General features: G+C 47.6%; 1 protein-coding gene, 1 long non-coding RNA gene and 1 pseudogene across 9 annotated transcripts in view, besides 3 other annotated features; 2 read left to right on the top strand and 1 right to left on the bottom strand.

Moving 5' to 3' along the window:
- Positions 1-9504, bottom strand: part of SEPTIN11 (septin 11) — a 90403-nt gene extending 80899 nt beyond the window's left edge. For all 7 annotated transcript variants that reach the window (XM_017008401.2, XM_017008402.2, XM_017008403.2 and 4 more), the window contains exon 1: positions 9326-9504. Coding sequence is in view for 3 of the 7 variants with exons in the window: in XM_017008403.2 (XP_016863892.1) it covers positions 9326-9352 (27 nt within the window). In the remaining 4 variants the exon portion in view is untranslated. The remainder of the gene's footprint in view (positions 1-9325) is intronic.
- Positions 16-532, top strand: TXNP6 (thioredoxin pseudogene 6; annotated as a pseudogene).
- Positions 9210-9519: a silencer, noted in NCBI's record as "silent region_15498". NCBI's record gives its function as "represses an Ori minimal core promoter by ATAC-STARR-seq in GM12878 lymphoblastoid cells {active_cell/tissue: GM12878}" and the evidence as "EXISTENCE:reporter gene assay evidence [ECO:0000049][PMID:35858748]".
- Positions 9550-9729: a silencer, noted in NCBI's record as "silent region_15497". NCBI's record gives its function as "represses an Ori minimal core promoter by ATAC-STARR-seq in GM12878 lymphoblastoid cells {active_cell/tissue: GM12878}" and the evidence as "EXISTENCE:reporter gene assay evidence [ECO:0000049][PMID:35858748]".
- LOC105377294 (uncharacterized) overlaps positions 9691-11960 on the top strand; it is a 40750-nt gene continuing 38480 nt past the window's right edge. For both annotated transcript variants that reach the window (XR_001741739.2, XR_001741738.2), the window contains exon 1: positions 9691-10293. This is a non-coding gene — a long non-coding RNA (uncharacterized LOC105377294). The remainder of the gene's footprint in view (positions 10294-11960) is intronic.
- Positions 10640-10719: an enhancer, noted in NCBI's record as "active region_21632". NCBI's record gives its function as "activates an Ori minimal core promoter by ATAC-STARR-seq in GM12878 lymphoblastoid cells {active_cell/tissue: GM12878}" and the evidence as "EXISTENCE:reporter gene assay evidence [ECO:0000049][PMID:35858748]".

Below are 11960 nucleotides of genomic sequence, written 5' to 3'. Positions count from 1 at the left end.
AACCTTGTCTTGTCCAAGCTCAGTCCAGTGCTTTGGATCCGTTTCCATCGGTCGTTACAGTTGCTCATCAGACCCCAGCAGCCAAGAATGGTAAAACGATCAAGAGCAAGGTTGCTTTTCAGGAAGCCTTGGACACCGCAGGCAATAAACTTGTAGTTGACTTCTCAGCCACATGGTGTGGGCCTTGCAAAATGATCAAGTCTTTCTTTCATTCCCTCTCTGAAAAGTATTCCAACATGGTATTCCTTGAAGTAGATGTGGATGACTGTCAGGATGTTGCTTTAGAGTATGAAGTCAAATGCATGCCAACATTCCAGTTTTTTAAGAAGGGACAAAAGGTGGGTGAATTTTCTGGGGCCAATAAGGAAAAGCTTGAAGCCACCATAATGAATTAGTCTAATCATGTTTTCTGAAAATATAACCAGCCATTGACTATTTAAAACTTATTTTTTTTTAATTTACAAAAAACATAAAGTATGAAGATTATAAACCTAATTGCCATCTGGGTGACAATAAAACATTAATTCTAACAACAACAACAACAAAAACCGCGTCTTACAAATAGTAGTGAAAACCTGGTAAAAAGTCAGTTTGTTCTGAGTATTTTTTAAAACATCCAAAGTAGCTTAGTATATTACAAAATTAACATTCATACTCCCTTATTTGTATAAGGAAAAGACGAGCCCCACACTAGTAAACAAGGCGTTTTCATCTAGGTTTCCCCAAAATGCAAGGACTTGAGACAGGGACTTGCATGCATGTGAGTCCTGGGAAGTGACCCAGGGGAACAGAATGGGGGACAGGGAAAAGTGAAACAGGGGAAGAGGGAAGGCCACCCTAAGGGGACTGTAGAGTAATCACCCCTGAGGGCTGAGGCTGGGGCCCAGAGGGGAACTTCTAAGGAGCCAGGTCAATTGAGGAGCCATGTAGATCCACCATCTCAAGGGGGTTGCCCCCTGGGATGGCAACTCCTTTGGATGTCCAGAAGTGCACAAAGGTCAGAATAGCTAAGCAGAACCCAGGTGGCGATGGCAGAGAAGCCTGGGGCAGAAAGTGGACTTGCGAGGTCTACACCTACCGGGGGTTGACACAGCAACAGCCAGGTAGGCACACGTCTTAGACAATACGTCTTATCCAATTTATCTGAAGGGTGAATTTTCACTTATTGAGTCAAATGTTTATTGGTGGGGGGTATAGGACATATAGTCCTTTCCCTTAAGTCTGGCTATCTAGACTAAGAATGCAAGAATGTGGTCAAGGGCTAGTGGAACATATTGCTTATGGTAGGTAATAAGGTTTTTTTGTTTTGTGTTTTTATGTTCACAATTATATTTGACAGTCACTTTTTTTAAAAAAGGTAACTTAAGGAAAGGTGGGGTGGGGACTCCAGAGCACTATGTGGATGACACATAAGTGTTGCCAGCAATTCAAATAAATAAAAATCGCCAAAATTTTGGTGATTCATGGGTGGAGGCTTCATGGAGGGTATGCTTGATCCGTGCCTCTAAGGTGTGCTATGATTAGAAAATGGGAAGCCTGTGTGGTTCAGGTGTGCAAGAGAAGGGGCAATTGCTCAGTTCCCACTGGGGTGGGGTGGAGTGGAGTGGCAGTTCTGGTTTGAGCCCAGTCTTCAGTATAAAGCCATTACTATTTCAGCACCATTTTCCTCAGATAACCAACTTTTATTGAGGATGAATGTTCCAGGCAGCAGTGTAAGCACTGTGTGTGTACTAACTGGCTTAATCTGTAACTCTTTGAGGGAAGTACTGTTAGTGTTTTACAGATGAGGGAAGTAACTTGCCTAAGGACACAAAGCTTGTTAAATGGTAAAACCGATACTCTAGAACCGGAGCAACCTGGCTCCAGAGCCCACATTTTTCACCCAAACGCTATACACTATGGCCTCTCAGTAGAGAGAAAAACAGAGCAAGGGAAAGAAGGGTGCCATCTGATTCATCTGCATTTAGGGACATATGGCTGGGAAAGGTCCAAAGGGCCGAGGTCCCAAGGGAAATCATTCTGTCAAGCAGCTGGAAGTCCTAATGGCCTCAGAACCATTTCCCAGAGAGTACACTTCCACAGCTGAGGTCATCAGAGAGCAGCACAGAAGGCCTTTCAGAAGGTTACCACCCATGACTTACTTGATGGTGATGTCCCTGGAAGCTCATCACCAGTGAGTAGGAGAATTCACTCTGACTTCAATTCATTGTGGCTGCCTAACTCTTATCTCTCTCTGTCTCTGTCTCTGTCTCTCTCTCTCTCACACACACACACACACACACACACACACACATCATTCTACTATGCCCAGCTAGAATCAGAGCAGGCCAAATAGAGGGAGAAAAATCCTTACAGACAGGGATACAATTTTAAAAATAAAGACTTGGCTTCATAGTAGATTCCTTGACTAGGAATCTAGCCAACTGTTATTCAAAATATTCACTGCCCTCCCTAGAGGGGGATTTACTTCCCCAGCCCAAGGGTCTTTCAGAGCCACTCTTTACAGGAGGATTCTCTATCCTCATTCTTTTGAATTTAGGAATGACCATTTACTTTGGCCAATACAATCTGCATGGAAGTGACCCATCTAAGAGCTTGAGAAGCCAGCTCTTGAGAAGCCAGGGTTCAGCATGTCTCTTTGTCCTCTGCCACCAGGCTGGCAATGCCCAGATAGAGGATACTCCCTCAGCCTGGGTCCTGGAGGCAATGCAGTATGCAGCAGACCTCCGAGGGTGGAACAGCTGCATGAGAAATAAACCCTTGCTATGTAAGCCACCAAAACATGGGGCCAATTTGTTACCGCAACATAATTTAGCTTAACTGACTGAATCAGATGGGAGGTCTGTATGCATGTTGGTCTAAAAGCCTTTGGTTCCAAAGCCTAGCTCTCCCACAAATTTGCTGTAGCAGATTAACTGACAACTTCTTCCTGTCTCATTTTCCTTCTCTATATTACTTCTCAGGTATTTTGTGAGTATAAGGTGAGATAATTGTCTTGACAGTAATTTGAATTGAATAAATTTGAAAATCAAGATGCTGAACAAGCTTCCCGTGCACAGAAGTTTTTGGTCAAGCCTTTTGCCCTCCAACAGCAGGTCAGAGTAAGTTTAATGAGTACCTTAATGAGATTCACAAAATTTATACTGGTATGAAGACAGTACTCAAAGAGATGAGATAACTAAAACAGCATGAAGTCTTAAGTAAACCCTGGCTTTTAACAGACTCTTCTCCTGTTTTCATAAAATCCAATGAGTTTTTAATTTCCTTTTTGGAGAACACTGATTGCCACTTGAAGTCCAAGGTGGAAAGAGTCCTACCATCTTCCCCCCCAGCCCCACCACACTCTTCAGGACTCAGTTGCTTAGGTCTAAGAAAATAATAACTTCTAGTTCTGAATCCTGAGGAAAGGCTCAATGCATAAAACTGGGCAGAGGAAGATCTAGCATTGTCGTTGTCATATGTTGTCACTGGACTCTCCTTCTCTGTGTCCTCTGTCAGTCTTCATTTCCTCTATTCTTTAAGGGTTCAATTTGGGCATGAAAGGAATCAACTCCCCTGATCGTTTCTCAACTCTCCTATTGAATCCTGAAGAATTAGTAGTCTGCAGATTTTCTTTGTCTTCCTTCAACCAATTTCAAGGATCTGAGATATCTTAAGTTATGGGCAAAGGGTGGATGGAATATAAAGCATTTAAAGAGCTACACAGTAAATACATGCCTATAAAGAATGCACTGCACAACTGAGTCTCTTCCCACCTCCTCAGCCTCTTGTCTGTCCACTCTCCCTACCCAACCCTAAGGCTGACGTTCCTGCTACATTGGATTTCTTAAGAGTCTCTCCCTCACTTCCAGAGCTTGGCACATGCTGTTTCCTGGGCTTGGAACACTTCCACAACCACCTCCCCATCTCCCTTTCCTTGCTAAATCCTATTGCTTACTCAGCCTATAGAGAGATTTCATGAGAGCAGCAAAGACTGCAGTCAAGTACTCACCAACATAATTTCAGCACCTGCATATAGAAGGTACACAAGAAATGTCTGATAAAACAGGTGGGTTGGAAAGGCAAGAATGAGTACTGATGTGTTAGGGTGTTGAGGATTATTTTGTTTTTCAATCTCTAACCTATCCACATTATTGTGCCTCAACTTCTATAAGAGAAAAAAAATCAATTCTTCCCAAAGGAATGTTATTATCAAAAACAAGTAGGTAAATTTTAATGTTATGCTATATATATTTTCATTTCCTTTTTGTACAATAAAAATGCAAAAAAAAATAAATAAATAAATAAAAAAGAAATCACACACAGACAAGAACAAACAAAGCTCCCACTTGTCAGAAAAATGGTCCTTTTAGAATATGGTCTCTTTCCCACCTCACCACCTCAGCCTACCCCTCTCTCAATGTTTCACACTCCATCCTACCCAGTCACAGTTCAGCAGGTGGGCAGAATGTGTCCACAGAACTGGACTTCCTGTGCCATTTGGCTTGAGCGATGTGCTCACACTCATTGGCGTCGATCCTAAAAAGAGGTGGCTCTGGTGCCTTGGCTTTGTCATATCAGGGAACAGACTCCTGATTTCTATCTCAGGTCAAGCCTGGAACAATGTGAATTTCATTTTAGATCGCCCAGCAAATTCCTTTTAGAAGTCTGTCTCTATTACCTTAGCCCAAGTATTGTTTTTATGTTCAACAGCTGCTGCATTGATGGGCTGCCAGCAGGCATGAGTGGGTCAGGGGAAGTATTGTTATTTGAGAGTTTTCTGTCAATCCAGATTTTTAAAAAGGGGGCGGGGGAGGTTATCAATTATATTGTAAAGTAGATCTCCTTGGAAAAAAGTATAGAAGCTTTAGATGTGTTGGGTTTCATTTAAATAATGGTTCAGCTTTGCTAACCCCATTTGAGACAGGTCTAGCTAAGACTATGAAAGATGGATCCCAATAAAATGATAAAATCCAAGAGCAGCGTCTATCCCCAACCAAATTTAGAGTCCTATAAAGAGAAACACAGGCACAGAAAACTCTGTGGGCTGCGCCACAGTCTAAATCCGATGATCATGATCAGTGTGACATCATCATTGGGTAGAATATAAACACTTGGTCTGCTGGCAATCAATCAAGTAGGCCATCCAAATCAAGGAAACAGCAGAGTCCCACAATCATTTGTTCCTTTTGCAGACATAGGATGGCCCATGCCCAAACACTAAGCATCCACTTCCTTCATTTTAAGAGTATTATTCAAATGGTCACACAGGACTCATTCAGGCACACAGTTTGGTTTCTAGGTGGCAGTTTATACAAGATGGGTTATGTCTGCTCAAAAAAGTGGTGAAATAGACTAAACACCTAAGAACTATTATATCAGGATAGTGGGTTATGGGCAGTTTTGTTCTTTTAATCAATTCCTTGGGTCTCCTTTTCACTGTAATGTAGACACATCATTTTTAAAGATGATAATTTAAAAGATAAATTAATCTATAACTTTCGAAAGATTTTAAAAGGAGAGATTATTGTACCTCAGAAACTTCTTGCATTCCTTAATAACTGCTTATAGAGCCTCAGTATGTATAATTTATATCACTGACTAAAAAGTTCTAATTTTTGAAAACTGACCTGAGATGACAGTCCCTTTATTGTTTAGGTGGCCCTCCCCTGGACCTTTCTTGGCTCCATTCATGTTTCTCCAGGCACACCGACCACAGCCATCCATCTGGGGCCACATTTTCAAGTCACAAAAATGGCAATTTTATAACAAGGGAAAGTAACATTTTATTGGCAGTACTCCTCCACTTCCCACACTCCCTGCCCTCATCTTTAAGAATTGCCTATAATTATCCCCAGACAGATATGATCCTTCACCTGAATCATATTTGCTGAGTCAGCAATAGGCATATAATTCCTTTTCTCCCTAAATGATTTACACATTTACACTGAAGTCTGTCACTTTAATACACCAAATCTCTCAAACAATAAAGCTCCTGGTAAGAAGAAAACTTGTCCACTGCTATATCCCCAACACCTAGAACAAGTTCCTGACACATAGCAGGTGCTTAATAAATGGTGTTAAATGAGCAAATGGAAACTTGGTTTTCCATTTCCTTCAGCTCAACAGATAAAACAGCAATTAAGTGCATTTCTTGAAGGATATCATAGGGAAATCTCCACCACCAGTGAAGTTTAAACACATATTTTTTGTTAGGGATAAAGTAAGAAATATTTCTGCACTGGGGAGCAGGCTAACCCAAATGACCTCTAACGTTCCTTTCAACTCCTAGAGTTTTTAAACTGATGAACACCACAGCTTAGGAGAGGCCATCAGCTACATAAAGCCTGATTCCCAAGTAGAGTAAATTGCCATGTTCTGTTTAAAATAAAGATAATAGCTGCCCCGGGATTTGGACGCAAAAATGCTAATTCATCCAAAATGCAGACACATCCCTTGGGAGTAAAATGTTCTTGCTAATCATCAGTTATACTAGGCAAACAGCAGATGTGCTTCAGGGTCTTCTTAGGGCTAAGCCCAAAAACCATCAGTGGGGAAATGGAGAAGCTAGGGATCAAAATTAAAACTGAAATAAACAGTATCACACTAAATTGAAGCTTTGTTTTGCAGTCAACAACAAATCCACTTAAGAAACTTACCTGAATTTAGCCTTGAGGTTTGAATGGTTTGTAACAGAATATAACCATTTCATAAGATAGAAAATAGTGCATTTGACATGTAAGCATTTTTGCCCACTAAAATGTCATATTTACCTGGGATATCACACTCAGATGTTCCCATTCAAGAATATCAAAAATTTAGGGTAAGTTATTCAGATTGCATTTTTCTTCAGTCTGGCGGGGAGAGGTAGTTATCGCAAAAGGAGATATATGTCCTAAATAACTTTTTAAAAAATCTAATTAAATACCTAGGGAAATTCCATTCACACATAAATCAACTTCGGAGTGGTTCTTTTCCCTCAGCGCACCCTTCCTTTCTTTTGGTGAAATCACAGACTAGATAAGAAATGGGAGGGCCAGAGAACTCTTAACTTTAAAGGTGCAGTGTAGATTCCATGGAGCTGTGTCTCAAGAGTCTTCCCCATTCATTGACTTTGTTTTAAAGCCATAACTGCAGAGACCACACTTAAGACAATAGCCCAATGAACAAAGTGAAAGGATTCAACAATTATCTGTGAAATGTGATCACATATTTTCTGTAGACTTTCTAACTTTATAGTCAATTCCTAATCACTCGTACATTAGGTTTCCAAAAGAAAAGTCTTCTGTCTTTAGATTGTAATTTAATTTTAATTCCAGTGACAACAGAGTGCGCAGAAAGAAGTCACTTCCTCTGTGCACGTATACTTAAAAAAAATCTCCTCTATTATCTGAAGAGGGAGGTCTAACATAAGAATTCTGTGGGATTAAGCTCACATATGGTTGGCCGACTTGGTGTTGGATGTGATTACGGCCACACAACTAAACCTTAAATCCACATACTGTTCCTATTTAACTGACATATATGAACTAATTTATAGAAAATGTGCAGCTAATTATTTCTTCCACCTCCTCCATCCCTCAAGAATGCACCAGCAATAATACGTGTTACTGAAAAAGCCAAACACCCCCACTGAATATTTGCAATCCTAAACGTTTGCCAATTTATCTAAAGCAGATATTGTTATTTTAGTTCTCTGAATCTATGCCTGCTAATAAGTATAATGGGGGGCAGGGGGAGGAGTAATTTAACCAGATAAATTTCACCTCTATAGACCTCAATTTTCTCACCAAAAATAAAACGACTAGCCCAGAGACTATGCAAATTCCCTCAGTAACAATAACCTACATGTGACCACTAATTATCAAGAGCACAATTTATGTGCAAAAGAAGACCAGAATTCTTAAAAGAGCCATGTCATTAAATCGTAGAGTTGAAAAGGCCTAAAAGACAGTCATGATTCGATATGACCGCTGTGTTTTCTGACTGCAGAAAACGTCTTTGAAAGCACCGCGGGCAGCCGAACCACCAAATCGAATTAGAATCCGCAAAGGGACCCATGAACTTCTCCCGAGGGGGTAGGGTGCAAAAGGCGCGCGTATCTGGGGAGGAGTTAGGCGGGGAGAGGGGGAAGAGCCGGGAGCCTGAGAGCACAGCCTTGCATTTCTGGGATTTCCGAGCTTCCAGTATCTCAGTAAGTCTTTCGTCTGTAACTACAAAATCTCCCGAGCCACCACCTGCAGCTGCACAGCTGTGGGAAAGGGAAGAAGAAAAAGGGAAGAGGAGGTGATAGACAGGGAAAGACATCGCCCGAGGCGCCCCCAAAGCCAGTAAGGCGAGTGGACTGTGAACATCGACGATGAAAAGGGGAAAGGGAAAACAGGAGGACTCCGCCTTTCCCACCCAGCTCCGCTCCTTTCAAAAAAAAGGAAAGGCCGCCGCCGCCCCTTCCTCCGCCTTTCACTTGGGGATGCGGAGCGGCCACTGAACCGCACCCTCGGAGTCCCGCTCCCCTCCGGCCCGGCCCCGGGGCGCGGACCGAGTCTTGCAACCCAGTAGGCGCGGCGCCTTGGCCCACACACTCGGGGCAAAGGTATCTCCTCCCTCCTACTCTCCTCCCTCCCGCCGTGGGGCACTCGATTCTTCACGCACCCGCCCGCCCTTCCTCTTCCTCGCGTCCCAGCCTCCTCAGCCCGCCGCCCCCGGCCTTTCAGCCGCAGAACATTTCAGTCCTTCCACCCACACCACAAGGGAGCCTCCAGAAAACTTTGTGTGTGTTATCTGGGGCTTTGTCCACATCCTGGGCAGGGCCCGCTCAGCCGGGTGGATGCCCGAGGGTGTCCGGGATCTCACAATGCGCTGGGGAGGCCACCACGGAAATCCCACCCCTCTGACCTGCTTCTACAGCAGTGCCACACGCAGCACTTCAGCTCGCAATTCCCATGCCCTGAGCGCCCCCTCGGCGCGGGGGAGACTGGAGGAAAGCCCCGAACCCGGCGCCCTTCTGGCTGTCACGAGGGAAGAGGTGCGCGGGCAGAGGGAGGCGGCTGAGACACGCCGCGCCTCAAAGAATTATTTTAAAGGGAACAGGAGAGGGGTCCTTTTTCTTTCGCATTCCCAGAAGAGGGGCGCGACGAGGCGATCCACTGTTGCATCACGTAACTGAGCCCCTGGGCTCCTAACCCCGACCCCAGACGCGCGCCCAAATTCGTGCACACACCCACAGCCGTCGCCGCCGCCGCGGGGCCGAGCACCCGCCCGGCTCCCCTGTGGTCCTCACCGCACCCGCCCCAGAGCAGAGACCACCCGGCGCCCGAGGAGCAGCAGGCGAGGCCCCAGCACTCACAGACGGTCTCCCCACGGCCACGGCCATCGCAGCTGCGGCACCGGCTCCGGCTGCGCCCGGGTGCTTTACGCCGACTCCGGCTGCTGCTAGTGCTCGGGCTCCGGCTCGCCTCCCTCGCGCCTCCCTCGCGGCTGCGCTCTGCTCGCCGGCGTCCCGCTGGCAGCCAGCGGCATCTGCTCCCCCCACGCCGCCGCCCCTCCCGCTTTATTAGAGCAACATGGCCACCCGCCTGGAAGGGACCATTCGCTTCCCCAGGAAGGGGTGTGAGCCTGCGCGCCCGGCCGCGGTGGTGGGCGGGAGGATGGTGGGCGGGCTCCGAGCCCAGCTCCACTGGCCCCGGCCGCGGGGCTCGCCCCTCCGTCCCCAAACGACCGTCTCCGCTGCCATGAGATGCCGACAGCCTGTGCGCTGGCCGCCACCCCCTGCTCCATCAGGTGCTGGAATCTGAGTAAAAGCCTGGGCGCGAGCTCCCAGCCCCGGGGCCTGCCACCGGCTCCACGAAGCGGGCAGCTCCAGCGGCCGCCGGGAGAAGGAAGGGCGACCGGGGGAGACGGGTCGCAGGGACAGCACGTGGCGGAAAGTTAGCCCCGGACTAGCACGCCCCACCCGGAGAAGCCGGCCTGGAAGGGGCTGCGGACCACCAGGCGGAGCGGTGGGCGACCGAAGTGCGGCTGGGCTGGCCTCCTCGTCTCCGCACTGGAAGAATTGCCCTTCCGCAAGTCTTCCCTTCCCACATGGGGGCCCTCCAGGCCGCACCTCGGTCGCCCACCGCTTCCCTTGAGAAGGGAGACTAAAGACAGGCATCTGGAAGCTGTCACTGTGGCGCGCGGGCAGACAGGGGATCCCATTGGAGAGGAAGAGCCGTAGTAGTCGCTGCTGCCTTCGGCCGACCCAACGGCCGCCTGCTTGGGAGGAAGAAAAAGAACGCCCCCGCTGAAGAATTAAGGCAGCCATTGGTTGCTCTAGGGGTAAGGACCGAGGCCTCCCCTGGGTGTCACTGGAGCAGCCACACGTGGGGGATCAGCCGACTTCATTCGATCGCTGGCGACAGACCCGGCGACCCGTAGGAATGCGCGCTGGGGCTGCGGCTGGAGGGCGTGGCGACGGCAACAGGCGGGTGGCTCGAGTGGGTGCGACTCTGGGCGCGTGGGACTGAGAACTCCTCCGCCGTGGGGAAGATTTTTTTCCCAGCAGATGTTGGGGTGTTACTGCGTGTCTGAGGGGCCGGCGGAATGGAGGGGTCCCGGTGCGTGCAGGGCAGCGAGGTGTGTCAGATGAGCTGTGGATCCCTGCGGCCCCACGTGGGCCGGAGAGGGGGGCCCACGACAACAAGCGATTGAGGACAGCGATGGACAGGGCGGGGAACCAGCTGGGTGGAAGCACAGGGAGTGTGGTGAGGAGGGAAGGGCTGTGATCTGCCCTCGGTACGACGCCCCAAGGGACAGCCTGGCCTCCTGAATTAGGGAAAAGACAACCGGTCTCTTTAGACGGGCGCCTCAGAGTCTGACCTGAGTCTTCAAACGCCCAGATCCCCTGGGGCCTTGAGTCTCCCTGTCCCGCTGGCCCTGCCTCGCCTGCGCTTCAGGACTCCGACGCCCCCGCAGCCTTGGGCTAAGGGTCAGTCGTCCCCGGGCGCGGGTCCGGCTGCCCTGGAACTGATGCTGGATTTCGCTGGTAGGTGGGCTAGGGGCTTGGTCACCCCGTCTGAATTCCACTGTCAGGACAGCTGTGGAACCGCCAGAGAAAAGTCTGGCCATGAAAGAAAGGTGAGGGGCGCCGACGCAGAGCTTATTTATTCAGTCTGTGGGCGGACTCAGACGTGCAGAGCACCAACCTCTTCAATTTCTGCCCTCTAGACTCCAAATCTTTTGAAATTAGGGACCACCATTTTATGCCAAACATACAGTAGGCGCTCAATAAGTGTTGAATTAAGATTACACATAAATGGGCCGGGCGCGGTGGCTCACGCCTGTAATCCCAGCACCTTGGGAGGCTGAGGTGGGCCAACATGGTGAAACCTTGGCTCTAAAAAAATGCAAAAATTAGCCAGGCATGGTGGCGCTTGCCTGTAGTCCCAGCTACTATAGAGGCTGAGGTGGGAGAGTCGCTTGAACTCTGGAGGCGGAGGTTGCAGTGAGCCGAGATCGCGCCACTACACTCCAGTCTGGGTGACGCAGTGAGACCCTGTCTCAAAAAATATATAATAATAAGATTACACACAGATGGGTGCTGTGCAAAGGGAGGGGGAAGACAAATACTTTCTTCTGCAGCTCTGGTACATGGACATTTTGTCCTTTCTCCATAAGGAGGATCAGACAGCAGCAGCACTGCCCATGGACCAGAGGCCTCATGTAAGGCCTGGGAAAAGAGGGCTCCACACACCACCAACCGGATGTAAGGGCAGTTGCAAAGGAACTGTGTTATCTTGACCAGAACAGACTGTAGAATTTGTTTATCAAATTTTTTTTTTTTACTTATTTATTTTGTGAATGTATATGCTGTAAACTCATCTGCTTAGATTGTAAGAATGTGAATGCCCTACCTTGGTGGGTAGGTTAGTTTATTCTAATCAGCAAAACTTAACGTTACATATTCCAACATCTCATTTGGGATGTGAAGATGCTATGGGGAGGGT

This window comes from Homo sapiens, chromosome 4 (assembly GCF_000001405.40).
Source record: "Homo sapiens chromosome 4, GRCh38.p14 Primary Assembly".
NCBI classification, from domain to species: Eukaryota; Metazoa; Chordata; class Mammalia; order Primates; family Hominidae; genus Homo; species Homo sapiens.
Note: the sequence above shows the minus strand (reverse complement) of the source record. Positions and strands in the feature narration are given on the sequence as shown.